This window comes from Homo sapiens, chromosome 5, assembly GCF_000001405.40.
Source record: "Homo sapiens chromosome 5, GRCh38.p14 Primary Assembly".
Taxonomy (NCBI): Eukaryota; Metazoa; Chordata; class Mammalia; order Primates; family Hominidae; genus Homo; species Homo sapiens.
This window is the reverse complement of record NC_000005.10, coordinates 3,521,128-3,540,405: the sequence shown is the minus strand read 5'-3', so window position 1 is coordinate 3,540,405 and position 19,278 is coordinate 3,521,128. Positions and strand designations below refer to the sequence as shown.

The following is a 19,278-nucleotide window of genomic DNA, read 5'->3' as shown; positions in this document are numbered from 1 at the left end:
CTGTAAATGATGAGGTTCTCATTTTTCTTAATGGCAATGACATGAGATGCTGTCTGCAAAGTGGGAAAGGACTGTGCATTCACTCCCTTTTTTGATGAGACTCCTTTTCCCAAGTTTATGAATGGAAGGAGGACTCCAGGTCATCATGGAACCAAAGGCTTCCCTTCCCTTTCCGTGCCCCCCAGACCACCAGCCTCCTCTGCAGCCAGACCACTGTTAGATGGAAACTTTAGCCATGCTGAGTATCAGGCAACCACCTAAGGGTACTTTGTCCTCATAATTCCAATTCCATGAGTTTATTCCTGTCTAGCCCAGCGTCTCCTGCCATGTCTGCTAGTGACCCTCTGGCATCCTTTAGGCAACCTGGAAGCTAAGCCTCCCTCCAGCAGCAACCGCTGGGCAGGGCGCATGCTCTCTCCCCCACTTGTATTGCACGGTGCTGGTGTGCCGGGCCAATCTCACTCAATTGCATGGTCCTTCCTGGGCTCAGGTGGGGTCCTGAACATTTTAGTGCTTCTAACCCCTAGCACAACTCCCAGTACTTGGGAAGTAAAGCTCTGAGTTCATGTTCAGTGAGTGAGCAAGAGAAGGACCACGTAGCTCTTCCCAATGCAGCCCTGAGATGCAGAGCAGAGAAGGTGCCAGGGAGCAGGTGATGGCTAGTGACCCAGCCCTTCTTACTCATGGGCTCCATCCTCCCAACAGACCTCACTTGCTTGACTCTCAAGAGCACGAGATCAGCCAAATTACAACCAGCCCTTCCAGACCCCAAGTCACCATGTTCCTGAGCTTGGAAGTATACCTGATTCCCAATCCTGCTGGAAGTATTATTTTTATGAGCTACGAAATGGTTATAGAAACTCATTTGCATCAACAATTTATAAACTCCAAAGATGCAGCAATGCTTTGGGGATGTCAGAAAAATGTTATTTACAAGTCACACTTCACTATAATTTATAGAGATTTACCCCCCGGGTTCCTGGAATTGAATTGGAAAGTAAGAAGAGCATTTCCAGATCTATCATTTGCATGTTTATTGGCACTTATCTGCAGATGTGACGATGACAGCGTCTTTCCTGCTCTGCCTTTCCCGCATTCCATGTTTGCGGTCATGGGTCATGGATGTTTATTAAGCACCCACTGTGTACCAGGCGCTGGATGAAGCCCTGGGTCAGAGCTAAGAGGACCCTATGCCTGCCCTTGAGGCATCTGCATTTCAGGGCAAGGGCAAGGACAAGGGGAAGAAGGCTGGGGCTGCGGGTAGTAAGTGCTGGGAATGCATGTCTGGGCTTCTTCACCTGTGCACAGGCACCGTCCATCTTCTTCCTGTCTTCCTTGTCCAGGAGGAAGAACTCAGGCAGGGACGCATCAGACCTCTGCCTTCCACACGCAGAAGGCCCGTGGGCATCAGAGGACCCGAGCGTCCCTTCCTCTCCTGGTGGCCAGGCTGGATGTTCCTGGGGAGCTGCAGTTCCTGGGGTTGAGCCTGGGCCCCTGCTGGGCAGCCTCCTTCCCCTCCTTATGACACTGTGGAGTGTCACTTTTCACCAAAGAACAAGAAGTGGAGTAGCCCCCTAGGCCCCTGTGGACTCCAGTGGCTGTCCCACACACTGCTGAAATCCACCAACACTGCAGGCCAGACAGCCCGGGAACACCAAGGTCTTAGGCTCAGCCTGTTTGTGTCCCCAGCCCCTGCCCAGCAAGAGTGGGTCTCCCTCCAAAGACAGGCCTGGGGTCAACCCTGCGGCCTTGGTGACCGATGCGTTCCCAGACTCAGGTGTGACCCCTTGCTCCTGAGGCTGCTGAACCTGGGTGGGGAGTGTCTGTCCTCAGCCCGATTTCTGAGTAGAGCACAGGGGGTCCTAAGACAAGAGGAACCCTCAGTGGAGCCTCCAGTGTGGGGAGGTGGGGATGAGGATGCAGGGGTGGGGCTGTGGGGTCCCCTGTGTGCCCCCCTGTGGGGCAGCCCAGCCACTGCCAGGGTGCTGCTGTCTGGGGACATCACATCCCCATGGTAAGCAGAGTGCCAGGCAAGGCCCATAGGAGGGGCTGAGGAGTCTGTCCCTGAAGCCAAGTTCCTGTTGGCTGAAGCTGCTGCATGGCAACTGTGGTAGAAGATTGCCACAAGCAGAAGGAAATCAATGGCCCCCGACTAAAAACCGGGGTGCACCACCTAGGCCTGGAGAGCTGACACCTGTCAGTGGCAGCGTCTGATACGAGTGGAGGTTGTGAGCCAGCCGTAGGCGTGGGGCATGGGCTGCAGGGGAGGCTGTGCCTTTGCATGGCACCTGTGCCTTTGCATAGCACCTGGACACCTGTGTCATGTAGGTAAGGGCATTTGCACAGAGTATAAGGGACCTACATGCATAGGTAAACATATACGCAGTGGGCTACCTGGAAATGGTTTAATCGGTTTAACTTCATAATCACAGAGTGAGCCACAGATAATGTGAATGAGGTGATGGAATTTGCCGGATTCCCGTGAAACGCTCCCTCCACTTCCTCAGAGTCCCCAGCCAAAGCGGGCACGGGCTTCTCCGGCATCTGCTTTCTTTGAGTCAAGCTAAATGTGATCCTTGCCCTGAGCCTTGCTCCACTATTAGTAGCCAAATGCTAAAGTATATCAGGGAGACTGGTGGGCGTGTACGGCTTTCCCTAAGGGACAGGAGTTATGCTGTATAGGAGAGGGAGTAAGAACAAAATCCACAGGCCCCAGAACAGCTGGGCCCCTGGATTCATCTGTTTCGACACTGCTTTAAAGAACTACTTGAGACTGGATCATTTATAAACAAAACAGGTTTAACTGATTCACAGTTCCACATGGCCGGGAAGGCCTCAGGAAACTTACAATCATGGCAGAAGGCGAAGGGGAAGCAAGGCAGGTCTTACATGGTGGCAGGTGAGACAGAGAGCAAAGAAGTGCCACCGTTTAAAACCATCAGCTCTTGTGAAAACTCACTCATAATCACAGGAGCAGCACAGGGGCAACCGCCCCCATGATCCAATCACCTTCCACAATTCTTGATGAGATTTGGGTGGGGACACAGAGCCAAACCATATCAGACCCACTGTGTGACGGAGTTCAGGGCCTGCCTTTGTTTCCCTCTGTGAAACTGGGTGAGTGGCTCAAAATGTCTGAGCCTCCTTTCCCTTACTTGGGAAAAGAGGAGTTTGAGCTGGGTCAATAGGAAAGCCTCTTCTGATCCTTGCATTGCGGGAATCTAAGTTATGTCCTCTATAGGGGAAACTAAACAGGGTTATCCTTCCAGGATTATCCTTCCAGGGTGTCATGTCTTTCTGTCTCGTTCACCATGCAGCTCTGAGCACTTACTGCGCATGAACCTACTGGGTAAGGGGACCGGTGGGGTTCACGGTAGAGCAGGAGGCTTTTCCCTGTGGAGCAGGCATTCCTGAGTGGGGACTCTGGCATCAAAGCATCCCGAAGTCTAGTAGAAACATTTAGGAGGGAACAGTCTTGCGAGTTGGGGACTTTTGCTTGCACTTCATATCACTATACCAAGCAAGCTCAAATATAATCATAAGTTAAAGTTAAAACATATTCATTTCATTTCTGATTCGGGTTTTTAGTGCTTAGCCAAGAAGCCGAGGAAAGTCCTCTTTGCCCTAACAGCAGCTTGTTTGCCGAGGGGCCCCATGTACCCCTCAAGTAGAAGCAGCTGCCCTCTGTGGCCTACAGCCCACCCCTCCCGTCCACACTCCCACAGGCTCCCGAGTGGAAAGTACTTGCCATATTTACTTTTTCTTGGATTCCGCAGTGTGAGCCTAGACAGATATTCTTTTGCAAGGGAAGGATGAGGTCAGCTGGGAGAAAGCAATATTTCCTTGTTTTAGATAACATTATGTTTTGAGAGTGCTCTCAAATTACTCACTTATATTTTTAAAGTCCTGTTTTTCTGTTAGATTAACAATATATTTGTTATCCAACTTCCAAACCCTAATGCATGGGAAAGTGTATGCCGGGCGTATTATACTCGGACCCCAGGAATATTATCCCAGCGATCTTCAGGCTGAGCCAACAGCTGATTGCATTGGGCACAAACCTTCCATAAACATCAGACCCTGCATCCATGTGGACGTTTTCATCCCTCAAAGCTAGTGCTTCATAAAGACACTGAAACAGACGAAGGATGACTTGGGACAGCCCGGATGCCACTGCTGGCGGCGGCCGCTCTCGGGGTGTAGGCGCAGGAGGTGGCGGTGGCGCACGCCTGGGTCCAGCGCACCTGGGTCCCCGCACCTGGGTCCAGCGTAGCCGGGTCAGCGCGGGTGAGCGTGCGCGCGGGAGTGCGCATGCGCGGCCTGCCGGGGGCGGCCTCTTGCAGTTCCCGCCCTGACGCAGCGCGAGATTAGAGCTCCTGCTAGTCCCCAGCTGACCCTGGGCCTCAAAGGCAAGCCCTGACCTCAGTCACACGGGGTGGCGGTGATATGGTTTGGCTCTGTGTGCTTCACTCTGCCTCACTCGCCTTCCGCCTGCTGGACGCTGCCCTGTTCCCCGCAGGCGGCCGCCGTGGAGGGCAGGCACCGCGCTCCCTGGCTGCTCCCGGGGCCTTCCAAGCACAGCCACGGCCATGGGGCCGAAACCCAGACCTCGAGGGGCCTGCGGGCAGAGCTCGACAAGCCCAGGTCAGTGTGGTCAGGGCCCTAGAAGTCCACTCAGCCCACGGAAAACTTGCTTCTTAAAGAATTTCAAAATGTTTCTCCCTCGGGCCGAGAAGCCTGAGAAGTCCGAGGCTGGGTGGGGCAGACAAGGCCTCCAGTCTGGGCGTCCCCGGCCGCAGCCTTCCCTCGGACCCACGCTGCTCTCCGCAACGTCGGATGACTGGTCAGCTGCGCAGGGCGTTTCCCATAAGCTCGCGGGAGAGAAGTCGCTGCATGTGCATTAGGGGAGACACGTGCATGCCTATGCTTATTGCACGCTCTCTTCCACTCACTGCATTCTCTGCCTTAGTATCGTGGTGAAGAATGGTACACAACACATTTTACACGCGAACGCTCTTCCGGGAGGAAGGTCCCACTGAGAGATTTGTAACAACATGCAGCTGTGAGGCCGGCGCTTGGCCGGCCAGGCCTTCCTTGCAAGGTCTGTGCAGACGGGAATGTTGGGTGCCCAGGCCTTGAAGGGTTCGCTTTCTGGGGATCCTATTAAAATAAGGAGATGGCAGTGCCTTCTGATCTCCTCGTCCAGGTTCATTCTTAGCCCACAGGTGTTCCTGAGAAGCCGCTAGGAAGGCAGTGGTCGAGTGACTCAGCGATTCATGGAGATTTTGAGTCAGGTCACATGTCTACATTGTGTGGACCTTGCCTCAGGACGCGCTTGATGGGCAGTAAATGTCAGGTCCAAACCAGGAGCCAAGACTTGTTATGACACCATCAAGCAGGAGATAAGGATTCAGTAAGGAAGGCTCAATTTCCCTTAATCTCTGTGGTGTTGGGAAACCTGGGTTTTGAAAAGCTTAGCCGCTGTTTTTTTTGAGCAACTCCCTTTATTGAATTATTTATTTATTTTATTATACTTCAAGTTCTAGGGTACATGTGCACAACATGCAGGTTTGTTACATAGGTATACATGTGCAATGTTGGTTTGCTGCACCCGTCAACTCATTTACATTAGGTATTTCTCCTAATGCTATCCCCTCCCCCAGCCCCACAGGCCCCCGTGTGTGATGTTCGCAGCCCTCCCCGCCCCCTCCCGCCTCCGTGTCCAAGTGTTCTCATTGTTCAATTTCCACCTATGAGTGAGAACATGCGGTGTTTGGTTTTCTGTCTTTGTGATAGTTTGCTGAGAATGATGGTTTCCGGCTTCATCCATGTCCCTGCAAAGGACATGAACTCATCCTTTTTATGGCTGCATAGTATTCCATGGTGTATGTGTGCCACATTTTCTTAATCCAGTCTATCATTGATGGACATTTGGGTTGGTTCCAAGTCTTTGCTATTGTGAATAGTGCCACAATAAACATACGTGTGCATGTGTCTTTGGCCTTTATTCGTTTTGGTCACATGCAGAATTTGACTCGGACAGGTTACACCCAACACAGTTAAGTTTTCTTTGGAACTGAGCTCAGCCGTATGGTGTTCCAATCCTTGGATCTGGCTGGAGATAGCACAGCCCTGCCAGGGGAAGCTGTCCTTTTGCTGATGGTGAGCTTGGAGTACTCTGTTCACATTTTAAAACAATGTGAGAAGGATCGAGAGCCAAAATGTGAGATAATTTCCATGTTTCCATAGATGGTTGTAACAGTCTAATGAGGTGATCAGACAGGGATTTATCCAGTCCCCAGCCCACAGACAGGTTTACGAAGTGTTTCTTTGTTTGATTTGGGGAAAATGAGTTAGAATTTTGTCTTACTGATCATCAAAAGAAACAGCAGGCTCTTGTCTGTGCAACAGCGTCCGTGTTGCCCAGACATGAGGCAAATATCTTCAAATGAAAATAAGTTTGTTGTAGAGGAGATACAATTCTGTCCTAATGCAAAATGCCTTGTTTAGAAAGGTTGTTCCGTCTGTTTCTGTTAAAGATGGCATGAGGGCCTGCGGGAGGAAGTACTGGGGATTGGAGCATGTGGGTTTCCCTCTGCTATTGGGGTAACTGTGCTGTGATCTAGAAATGTGAGGTCATCTGGGCCTTGGGCTCCTCGTTTGTGAAATGAGGGAGTTGGATCCATTCAGCTTCAAAAACCCTTGACCCAGTTGGGTTGCAAAGTCAGCAGTCACTTCTTCCTGCACACCCCATCTGGATGGAGGAAACCAATGAGCACATCACAAAGTCAAGCCATGGAGCAGCCCCACTAAGGAGGCTAGGCCCGCTACTCACACAGGAGCAGGAAGACTTGGGTGGGCTTTGACGGGGGTGTGAGGAAACTTGAATGGGATCCTTACAAGCTGGGTCCTGGAATGAAATGAGCAAAGGCTCTAGGAGTGCACAGGAATACTGGCTGAGCACCGCCTCTGGGAGGGGCCCCAGATGCTCTTAGCTTTATAGGACACGACCACACTGTGGGGCCCTCATCTTCAGGCCAAAACCTTTTTGATTAAATTGGCAGACCAGAGTTTCTCAACCTCAGTGCCATAGACATTTTGGGCCGGGTGGTTCTTTGCATGGGGGCGCTGACCTGTACACTGCAGGCCACCTGACAGCATCCCTGCATCCCCCCACCACCTGGATGCCAGCAGAACCCCCTCCGATGTGAGGGCCAAAGTGTCTCCAGACCTGGCCCAGGAACCCAGATCACCCTGGATTGAGAACCATTGTGGTACACTAATAGTATCTCCAAGTTTTACAATTTTTCACTCCATGTGTGGAAAAAAAAATGAGCGAAAATCTTCAATATATGAAAAATTATTTAGAAATTACATACACAGACTATTGTCAATATAAAACCATTAGGAAGCTTAATTTCTCTAGGCTTTAATTGCTAACTTTTGTCCTGCATCTCAATTGATCAACTTGCTTACAGCCTCCATTTTGGAAATGACTTTTGGAGACTGTGACAGTCCATTGGCTGTTTTTGAACAGAAATATCAGAATGAAAAAAATGGAAGGAAAATGTCAAGAGGCACCTTGAAAAAAATGCTATTAATATTGTTGAGAGAACAAAGTTAAGATTTACAAAAGAGTGCCCAGATGTGGCCTGAATTAGTTAAGAAGTGGGGAAATACAACTTTCTCCCTGAAATGCAGGTGGGCGTGGGCTCTGGAAAGGTCTGGAAGTGCTTTCAGCCACCACAGTGATTAGAGGTCCCTGGTGGGACATAGGGGTTGGTAGCTGGGGATGCCGCTCTGTGGAGGAGGTTTACCAACACAACAAAAGCCTGTACCCCAGAATATACAGGAAGGTCCCGTAGCAAAGGCATTCTTATCAGTTTGTCAGGGTGGTCTCTGAAGTTAAAGTTTCAACATGAATAAAATTATAAAATTATATACCAGTAGAGAAGCACTGCCCCACTCCCTTCAGAGACCAGGGTTCTGGGATCCTCCTAGAGTGAAACTATCACCCCACTCCACTCCACAGTCATCGTTCTCATTCTCAACACCCCAATTTTTTTCAGGCTCATTTTCTAGACTAATACTTTCATACTTGGCATTTTCTTTGACTGTGAAACTTAGGATTCCCGAAGTCGGTGCCTTGCTGCCAGGGTTCTGTCTCTGCGATTCAGGGCACTTTCTTGCCATCAAACCTTATCTCCTCATTAGGCCTAAGCTTCTTTCTATTTGTGAGAGGCAAAGCACGTTGCCCAGGTAGCATTAGAATGTGCTGCAGGCAATGCCACACACCTGCTGGGGGTCCGGGATAGACGTGTATTTGTGCTGGCAACACAAGACTTCTGCTGACATCCAAGGAGACCAGGAATGTCAATGCAGACCCTTTCTAGGGACCCTCACATTTGTCCTTCCCAGAACCGTTGACCACTCAGGTTTGTTCCAAGAAGAACAGGTGCATTTGGAGTCTCTTTTGGAAAAAATACGAAACAAATAAAGCCAGTTTCATTTTCAACTTCTATTTCAGCTGCTACACTGAAGGGAAAAACCTGAGGAAGCCCCTGACCTTCTTGAATAACCTGGATATTGCAGAATCATGCCTGGCACACGGCACTGGCAGAGACGCAGAAGGGAAAGTGTCCAGCGATGAGAGGTAAGGTGAGACAGAGACCTGCCCAGACCTCTGGACGTGGCATGGGGGCACATCTTGCAGTCAAGAGAATTTTTACATTGTGGCAACTAAGGAGCGTTGTTTAAAAATTCTTTGCTACCCCAACGAAACTTGTCAATGGGAAGGATTTGAGACTTCAAAAAAAAAAAAAAAATCTAGCAGTTGGAATTTTAGTGGAGGTGGCATTCCTGAGATTCCACTCTAGGGCTGGTACCTGTCTGTGCTCTGGGAGGTTCCTGGGGCCTTCTCTGCTGGGGATTGCTGTGCTCTCAAAAGCCAGTTTCCCCTGCCTATTGAAGTTAAAAGCACACTTCCCTTGCTCAATGGTTCCCTCAATATATTCTATCTTTTTTATTTTTTTGCCCATTGGAATATCTTTCATGAGAGCTCAGCAGCTACAGACAACTGCCTTTCTATAAAACTGAGCGAGGTTATTCAGTACAAATGGAATGAACGTGATTTTTTCTTTCTGATCAAAGCAAAACTCTTTTGAAGTTTAGCTATTTGATAGAAAGTGGCTTTTATAACAAGCTGATATATGAGTTAATAGGACATAAAGATATTTTATTAAACTGCAAACCATTGTTAATATTGCAGTTTCAACTTGAAAGAAATATGTAGAATGACACCGGAAATTAATTAGATTATTTCATCATTCTTTTACATTACAAACTTTGATACACTTGCACGGATATATAGGTACATTGATAAAAAGACACAAAGACAAACAGAATTTTAATGAGTGGGGAGCTTTTATCTGCTAACACTTTGTGACTTAATTTTTTCTGTTTATTCTGTCTATTGATTCCAGTTGAAACCTGCTGTTTTAATGTTGTTATTGATATTCTCTCTGGGTTTTCTTCTAATTCTGGCATTGATATTACCTTGATCGGATTTAGTTTATTTGAATTGCCTGTAGGTTTTGGTCTCCGGAGTTTTTCACTGCTTATAGACATGCAAAGATAAAACCTCTCTTTTTATCTAAAAATCCTTGAGAGACTCTGAAAGATACAGCCGTTTTCTGAGAACATTAAAAAGCAAGAGACAACAATCAAAAGGAATCTACTTCTCACCCAGTTTATTCAAGACTTCATTTCTATACTCCCTGCATATCCCGACACCCACTGACTTCTAAGCTCCTCAGTTCCATTTTCTTTTGCAAACTGTGCATGGAGAAAGGGTTTTGTCCCAATATCATAAGTGGTTCAAGCTTTGGGTCACTGCCTTTGCCTTGCAAGTGGGTAATTTTTGCAAGAGAAGATTATGCATAGAAGTACTTTGGAGGAGGATGCATATTTCTTTACTAAAGAAGGCATCAGCATATGCATTACCATGAACCAGATGAAATTGACCTTTCTTATGGGTCAAACAGGTTCAAATATAGGCTGTTTCATGTTCTTCAAACTAATGTGAATAACCGTCTTCTGAGATGGGAGACAAGTAATTTTCCAATCACTTAAAATGAGAGACAACATGTATTAATTAATTACAAATAGAAGCGAGGAATTTTCCATAGAAGTAATTTGGAGAGTGGGGGCTAAATGCAGGTGGTACTGTTGAACAACATTTTTCTAGTTTAATTATTTTTATTCAAAATATGTTATAAATTCCTGAGAATAATGAGCACAGTTATCAAAGTAACTTTCTATATCCTATTACATTCATCAAGGGCTTCTTGGCTTTAGTGTCTGTAATTTATTTTAGGTTTTCGTTGGCTTTCACTGGGGTGTCTTTCCAGCTCCCCCCATGATTCTCTGTGTCTGGTTTATTATTTCAGAGTCTGTGATCTTTTCCCGCACCCCGGCTTCTACTTTACTTTTGTTTTTATAGTTTTTGCCTTAAATAATGTTGAAAACGGAGCCACTGATTGCAGCGGTCCAAGCTGTGAACTCACTTACACTAGCAGAGTGGGGTCGTTAACGATTTCTTCTTAGATTTTCGAAGTCATCAATCCATTGGTTTCTCTTTTCTGTGAGTATTAGGGGCTTAAAAATCTAGTGTTTGGGCTGCCTAGAAGGTGCTGAGGGAGAAGGAGAGAAAAGAGGGGGCTTTCCTCTGCCTGGGAAGAAGGAAGTCTGTTTCATAGTAACTAGAAAAGAAGTAAGAGGGAGAAAAGGAAGCAGGTGACCCATTTCCTCCTCTTGCCTCTACTGGTTTGTCTTCTGAGTAATCCCTAGGCACTTACCCCATCTACTGTGAGCAACTCAACTATTTTATAAATATGTAGCTCTCATTGCAGGAAGAAGTCTTACCTGGTATCTGGTATTGCTTTAATTATTGTAACACCTAATTCACTAGGAAGCCATGTGACTTGCATGTTCTAGAGAAACTCTGCGTTCACCTAAGTGTCAAAGCATAAAGAAAAAGTAGCACATTGGATGAAACTCTTCCCAAATTTGTTAGATACTTTTACGTTTAGGGGGAAAAAAAAAAGAAAGAAACAACATAGAAAACTCTCAACATAATCTATAATTTCCTTAGTAAGTCACTCATCACCAGGAGTCAGTATTATTGGCAATGCTCTCAAAGTGATGGAGTTGTGGAATCTTATAGGACCCTACTATTCAATGGCCTCCGTGATGCTGCACTAAACACTGGTTTGTGTAGAGTTTTCATCCCCTGCCTTGTGGTTTCTAGCAAAAGAACATCTATGATCAAAATCACGTACAACTGTGCTATGATCAGCAGAGAGAAGCCTTGAGTAGAAGGTTCTCTTCAATTCTTGGACCCGTGACACATGAAGATAATTGGATAATTATTAAATAATTATTTGCATATTAATGTAATTATGATCCATATTTTAAGGTTTACTAAACCTACTCTTTAATATGTATAGCAGCCATCATTTGGATGATGTCTTTACTTATGTTCTTATTATATCTTAGAACTGGCTTCTGAATTCAGCACCCTCATAAAACATGACCTTGGGGAGCTTTACAGTTTTCTAGACCCACAAGATGGTGCTGACTCTTCCTGCAGAAAGAACATTATTCATAGGAAGCAGGAGACAATTAATTACCTGGAGAAATTCAGAAATGTAGCTGTCTGAATATAAAGCTAAATATAAAGACAATTAAACTGAGAACAAATTGGTAACTGGAAAGTCCTTAGAGGGAAGATGAAGGCTATGCAGCCGGGGGCCGAGCCACGTGTGGTTCACTTCCATGTCTGTCCATCCTGGGCTCAGCTGTGGTTCCCAGCACGGGTAAAAACACTGGCCCAGCTTGTGTGTTGAGAGAGAAAGCGTATAGAACTTGACAGGGGGTTGGGGATTTTTTTTTTTTTTTTTTTTAGATGGAGTTTTGCTCCTGTTGCCCAGGCTGGAGTGCAATGGCGCAATCTCAGCTCACTGCAACCTCCTCCTCCCGGGTTCAAGCAATTCTCCTGCCTCAGCCTCCCTAGTAGCTGTGATTACAGGTGCCTGCCACCATGCACAGATAAGTTTTTTGTATTTTTAGTAGAGATTGGGTTTCACTCTATTGGCCAGGATGGTCTCCAACTTTTGATCTCAGGCGATCCACCTGCCTCAGCCTCCCAAAGTGCTGGGATTACAGGCATGAGCCACCATGCCTGGCTGGGTTGAGGACTTTTTAAGGAACATGACTCTGTTCTAGTTCATCAATAGTTGACGCAGAAGACCAGCACTTAGACAAGCCAGCAGTAACAGAACCCTGGCTAAATCTTGTTCTGATTCATATAAATTACCTTTCTGAGCCATCCAGGTCATTTTTTGAACCAAGCACACAAGAGATATAGGCATGTGGATTAATTATGCAATAACAATTAAAATGTGTCTTATTTTACCCAGTTCAGAGTTGGTTGTAGGGTTGTAAGGAGCCAGGGCCAGGTTGGTGCCTCATCTGAAGACCTGAGCTCTTATCGGAAGCTTTCATTTTCATTTAGACACTTGGGTGTTGGGTCAGGTTCATGGATGATGTTTCCATTTGCGGTGAAACTGGAGTTCTTAGTTGGTTTTTCCTATTATATAGCAAACAATCTTGTCATCGTATAGAGTATGTCTTAGATATGTACTCTTTCTAAGATAACTTTTATTGTATACTATATCTTAAAATCCATACCATACGTTCATAAGGCAGTATAATAAATTACACTGATAAGTCTTTGCTATATTATTGCTTCAGGTGTTATTGTTTGGTAATCTCAAAACGCCATTCTAAATCAGTCTTATATTAAGCTGTATTATAGATGCAGTGGTATTCAACCTGGCTGAACACTTGTCCACACTCTTAAAACATTTGACATTCATGTATCTCCTGCCTTTTTCTATAAGCCACATTTACCATCCTAATAGTGAACGCATTGCATCCCTCCTCTCTTTGCATCTGCCATGGGTGTGTGGCCAGCCCTGTAAAACAGCTGCATTCCATTTATGTCATAATTTGGAGAAGTTGCCCGACACTTCTCAGCCTTGTGAGTTGATGGGTGCATACCTGTGTGTGTTGGTGAGGGGTGGTATTTAGGGTGTGGGCACCTTTGGACCAAATGCCTGGTCTTGGTAACCAATATGGAATGTTCCAGACACTCAGATTGTGCTAACCAGAGATGGCAGCCTGGGTCCCTGTGTGGAGGGCAGACCTCCAGGGTCCACTGTCAGGGCTGTGTGTGTGTGTGTGTGTATGTGTGTATGTGTGTGTGTGTATAAGACTCTGTGGTCACTGTGGGCTGCCACCAAGCCTCAGGCTGGAAAGCAACACCGTCAGCTCTGTGTCTCAAAGCCTAGCCCAGCTGGCTGCATTTTGAAGCAGGGGTTAGGTGGGTTGTGGGGTGGAAGCCAGGGCCTGAGGGGTGTTTCTGAGGTGTTGACGTGTGTGGGTTCATCCCTCTGCCTTTACAAAGAGCAGGAAACTGAGATTTTGAACAAATGGTTATTCTATAGGGATTAGAAAGAGTTTTAGAGAAAAGCAGACATTAAGAGTCTTCAAACAATGAAGACAAAGAAGAAGGAACATGCTTAACAAAACTTTTATTCATACCAGCATCCCTCAAACCCACCACGACTCAATAGTCCTAACTAAACCTCTACAAATGTGAGTCATGAATCTGTCTGAATGCATTGCACAGCATATTCTAGAGTTTATACCACGAGGAAAGAACCTCAAGCTAAACTCCTTTCATGAATCATACTCTTTTATTACATAAAAGGTAATTTTTGGTTAAAAGCTGTTTCAAAAGGAAAAGAAAATATCAGCCTCTAAAATTCTGATTCCAATCTCATGTGCCTCAAATAGCTATAAAAATTGCTATAATGAAGACATGGATGTGTTGATATTACCAGATACTTTTATTATGAGAAAAATCAAGTCTAGATGGTGTCAGCATTTACATGGGAAAACTGTTTGGATAATAGCAACTAACATGATAATGACATGGAATTTACTTACCTGTCACAGAAGATGGAAACCACATTTCAAGAATTGGGTGTCAGTAAAATCTAGTACGGTATACACATTTTATTCCATGCAGCAGAAGCTGCCATTTGGAATGCCCCTATCGAGACTTCCCTCCTCCATGTTCAAGAGAAGGTGTATTTTGAGTGCTGCTAACAGCTAGGCCGGAAATCTAAGACATTAAAAAGCCCCATGTAGTCAATGACATTTTTACAGTGGGGCAAATTAGTGAATAATGCTTTGTGGGAGTTAATTTACCTCACATGAGTAAGCACTTTACACCCATCGAATTGCTTGTCTGCTGTGGAATCAGCTCCTTATGTTTTGCTTAATGAGATCAAGGTGAAGGGATGAGAAAGGCTGGGGGCAGTGAGCGGGATCAGTCACATTGCCTTCTCTGGCTCGCAGGCTGGTACCTGAGCAAGGTCACGCTTAAGACTCCAATAGGAGTGGAATTGGAAGAGAAAGGGGGCCATGAACATTGAGTCTTGCATTCCATGAGCCCGTGTTATCTTTTCTTTCTCTATCATAGTGTTCGAGTACCCCAAAATGTGGAATTCGTGGTAATCTGACTTGGTTGCCATGAAGATCACTTTTGAACTACATGTGAAGACAATTCAGGATAAGATGATTGCCAGGATAATTTCATTGGCTGAGGAACAGATGTTCCTGGCAGAGCAGGTGATGGTGAATTTTATGTGTCAACTAGACTGGATCATGGGGTGCCCAGATTTTTGGCTAAATATTATTTCTGCATGTGTCTGTGAGAGGGTTTCCAGATGAGATTAGCATTTGAATGGGTAGACTGGGTAAAGCAGATGGCACTTCCCCATATGAGTGGGCCTCGTCCAATCTGTTGAGGGCCTGGATAGAACAAAAGGCTGAGGAGGGGTGAATTTGCTCCCCATGCCTGACTACTTGAGCCAAGCCATCAGTCTCCTGCCCCTTCACCACCAGCTCTCCTGCGTACTGCAGAGAGGGGGATGTAGTCTTCATAAGTTCAGCACAAGAACCAGTTCCTTGCAGCAATTGTCTTCATAGCCATGTGTGCATACGTACATGGATGGATGCAAGAGGTCATTGCAGTATTTGTCTTTCTGTGTCTGGCTTTATTTTGTTTAACATAATGTCCTCCAAATTCATCCACATTGTTGTAAGTAACAGGATGTCCTTCTTTTTAAAGGCTGTATAGTATTCCACTGTGTGTAGATGCCACATTTTCTTTATTCATTCTTCCTTGATGGGCACTTACGTTGATTTCATATCTTTGCTCCTGTGAATAGTGCTACAATCAACGTGGGGGTGCAGATATCCATTTGACATACTGGCTATGTTTTATTTGGACAAACACCAGGACCGGGACTTGCTGGGTCCTGTGGTCGTTCTAGTTTTATTTTGCTGAGAAATCTCCCTAGCGTTTTCCATAATGACTGTACTGATTTGCATCCCCCCAGCCGCGTGCAAGGGCTTTCTTCTCCCCACCTCCTCACCAGTGCATGCTCTCCTTTTCCTTTTTGACAGTAGCCATTTGAACAGTTGTGGGGCAAGATCTCATTGTGGCTTTAATTTTCATTTCCCTGATGATTAGCCATGTTGGGCATTTTTTCATGAAGCTGTTGGCCATTCTTTCATCATTTAAAAAATGAACACAGTGGTGGGTACCTTTCAGAGCCGTGGTGAGAATTAGCAGTGATGCTTGTGAAACAATGAATGGAATAAGAACTCCATAAAGAACGGCTCATGTTTGCTATTAATAATGGGCTGGGTGCAGTGGCTCATGCCTGTAGTCCCAGCACTTTGGGAGGCCAAGGCGAGTGGATCACAAGATCAAGAGATCGAGACCATCCTGGCCAAAATGGCGAAACCCCATTTCTACTAAAGATACAAAAAATTAGCTGGGTGTGGTGGTGCACACCTGTGGTCCCAGCTACTCAGGAGGCTGAGGCAAGAGGATCGCTTGAGCCCTGGAGGCAGAGGTTGCAGTGAGCAGAGATGACACCATTGCACTCCAGCCTGGCTACAGAATGAGTCTGTGTCTCAAAAAAAAAAAAAAACAAACCCCCCAAAAATAATGGAGCAGAAAGCTCTGAGTATGTCAGGAACAAAACCCTGGCAGTAGCCGGATCAACACTAGAAAGAAATGTCAGGAAAGAGGAGTAGAAGAAGAGCTGGCGGTCATGGTGTCTTGGGCCACAGGGAGTTGTTTCTATGAGTCTGCATTGCTCCTGAGTGGATGTAGGGTGAGGACAGGTGCATTCAGCACACCAAGAGAAGAGCCAGAGCCCTGGATATGGAGTTGAGAAACTACCCTGGAGGCACTTAGATAAACAACGGTTTGTGGTAGCTACCTGCCCAGTGAGTGAAAGAGCACACAGAGGGTCAAAATTGAGCCCAAGTATTGGATATGGGTCAAGGAAGAAGAGCAGCACAGACTAAGACAGAAAGTTGTGGTTGAAAATACCCAGAATAGAGCCAGGGTAATGAGTTCAACTGAGTGTGTTTGAAGGGTGGGAAGGTTTTCAGCAGAGTCCCTCTGAGGAGTGGAAGTTATGGGATTGACACTCAGGTAGGAGAGCAGGACCAGAGTGGTAAATTCCAGAGGCCTGATTGACAGCAGTGGGAGAGAGGGCAGAGGCTGCATGCATTCTCCCTGGGAGTTGGAGGGGACAGAGGGCTGGAGAAGGGATTTGGAGACAGTCCATCACTAGTAGATGGGAGTGGGCACGAGTACAGGAGGACAGTTAGAATTGGGAAATTTCCATATCAAGGGTAGACTGGATGTGTGACCTTGGAAAAGGAAACTGACCTTGGCCATATCATCATTCAATGTGGGCCTGATGCCCCTGCCTCAGAGCTGTCTCTGTGGGTTGTCCCAAGAGGTTGCGCGATGCTGCCAGCCCCTGCTGGCCACAGGAAGTGCGCAGTGAACATTGCTTGATCAGCAGAGCTATGAAGCTGACAGTGCAAAGTCACGGATGATGCAGAATTGGCTATGGAGATGGCAGGAAGATGGACTAATGGCCTTTTGGAGTTTAAGTGGGAAGGTAGAGATGCTGCCATTTAAAGGAAATTAATAGTTTGGGGACGTCTTGGTATCAGTGCTGATTTAGTGGCAGAGGGAGAAGTAAAGGAGATGAGAGGAAGTAAGACATGCAGAGAGAGGACATGGATGTGATGGGAGGCGAGTGGCAAGAAGGCAGAGGTGTTTGCTGTTTTACAGGACAAGTAGGTAGAGGTACAACAGCCGCCCAGGACTCAGGTCCCCACAGCCCTTGCTGGCATGTGAGTGTCTGGTGGTATCACCCTCCTGTGCTCAGAGATGTACCCACAGATAGGAGGAAGGCTGATGGCCGTGGATGCCATAACAACACCAGAATGCCAATTCAGGCCATGTCGTTCATACAGACTCCCCTTCATCCACACTGGCCAGCGTGGAGGATCCGAGTTTCCTTCGCATGAGGGCAGATGATTTTTCACACCTGTCCCCTGTATTTTCTTACTGTGGCTGCCATGGCAAGTCTCTACAATCTGAGTGGCTTTCAGCAACAGCACTGTACTCTGGAAGCCAGAAGTCCAAAACCAAGGTGTCAGCAGTGTTGGCTCCTTCATGGGGGCTCACAGGGAGAATGTGTTCCCTGCCCATTCCTGGCCTTGGTGGCAGCAGGCAGGCCTTGGTGTTCCTTGATTGTGGCAGCACCACTGAAGTCCCTGCTCATATCTTCACAAGACCCTCTCTGTGTGTCTGCCTGGGCCTCTTCTATCCTAGGAAAGGCCATCATATTGGATTAGCGCCCACTCTCCTCCAGTAGGTCCTTAGCTTAGCTCACATCTTAATTATGTCTACAAAGGTTCTATTTCCATTGAAGGGCACAGTAACGAGTACCAGGTGTTAGGACTTCAACATATTGTTTGGGGGATGCTATTGAACTCACAGCACCCCATCAAGAAGCCCTGGACAAATTGCCCGCACACCTTCTTCGACACTTCACATGTGGGCAGCCTCCTGGTCCTTTCTTCCTCACTTCCCAAGTCCTTGGTGGCTTTCTACTCATGATCACTGAAGACAGCAACTCCAGGAGAGGCAGCCCCAGAAATCCATAGAGAGTGAATGGAGGTTTAATTTCTGCACCTGACACCTGCAGGTGATGCCTTGAAGAATCTCAACCCAAGCCTCTGCTGAGAGACTCAGCTCAGATACCTCTGGTTGGCCTGCCCAGCCCTGGGCTGGGGTGAGAGGCGCCTCAGTGCCCTGCGGTCATCTTCCCCATGTAGGCTATACAGAAACACTCATTAGAGGGACCTAATGCTTCGCAGCAAGGCTTGGGGGTCCCCATGCTTCATGACCATACAGACCATGCTGGAATCCAATTTCGTTACTTTCCCAATTGTTTGCTACTTATTTTTGTATTTTTTTCTACTCTAAAAGACCTTATTTTGGAGCTATCCTCTGTTCTCTTTGAAATCCCGTTTTCAGCACCATCCATCCCGTTTCTGGTGTAGGATTTTAAAGTGTGTAATTCTTGGCCTTTGAAATGCACTGGAATTTATTTTTGGTGGAGGGAGGCAAGGGAGCATAAGGGGGAGCCCCTGCAAGAACCAGGAAGACCCTGTGAGGTGCAGGGAAGAGGGGGCAGGCAGGGATTTCAGTGTCAAACCCGATTATTTAGAGAATCATTTTTCCTTCTTGGTTTTTGTTCTTCCCTTTCCAACTGGCAAAACCCTAATCATCTTCTAGACCCGGTTCAAACCCCAGCTCCTCTAGATGCCTGCCCAACCCAGACCTGCCTCATGGGCATCAGCTGCTCCCTATGAGACGTGGAAGCACTCACCCTGGAGCCCTGGTTCTTCCTGCCTTGCTGCTGACGGACAAGGCCCAGCTGCCACCACCTGGCTGCCTTGGGACCCCGTCGACTATGTGGGCCCTCCTTTCCTTTCCCCCCTTCTCCTCAGCTTTATTGAAGTATAATTAACAAATAAACATTGTACATTTACATCATTTAAGTGTATAATGCAATGATTTGATATACATGCAGTTTGTGAAATGAATACCACAATCAAGGTAATTAACATGTCCATCAACTCACAGAGTTACGTGTGTGTGTGTGTGGGGGGGGGGGGGGGTGAGGACACTTAAGCTCTACTCTCTCAGCTGATTCCAAACACACAATATGGTTGTATTAACTAAAGTCCCCAAGCTGC

The 19,278-nt window shown here is 46.7% G+C and overlaps 1 long non-coding RNA gene across 1 annotated transcript in view; it reads left to right on the top strand.

Moving 5' to 3' along the window:
* The first annotated feature begins 4,311 nt into the window (after positions 1-4,311).
* The window catches only part of LINC01019 (long intergenic non-protein coding RNA 1019), a 118,943-nt gene continuing 103,976 nt past the window's right edge, over positions 4,312-19,278 (top strand). The window contains exons 1-2 of the long non-coding RNA NR_033898.1: positions 4,312-4,644; positions 8,528-8,653. This is a non-coding gene — a long non-coding RNA (long intergenic non-protein coding RNA 1019). The remainder of the gene's footprint in view (positions 4,645-8,527; positions 8,654-19,278) is intronic.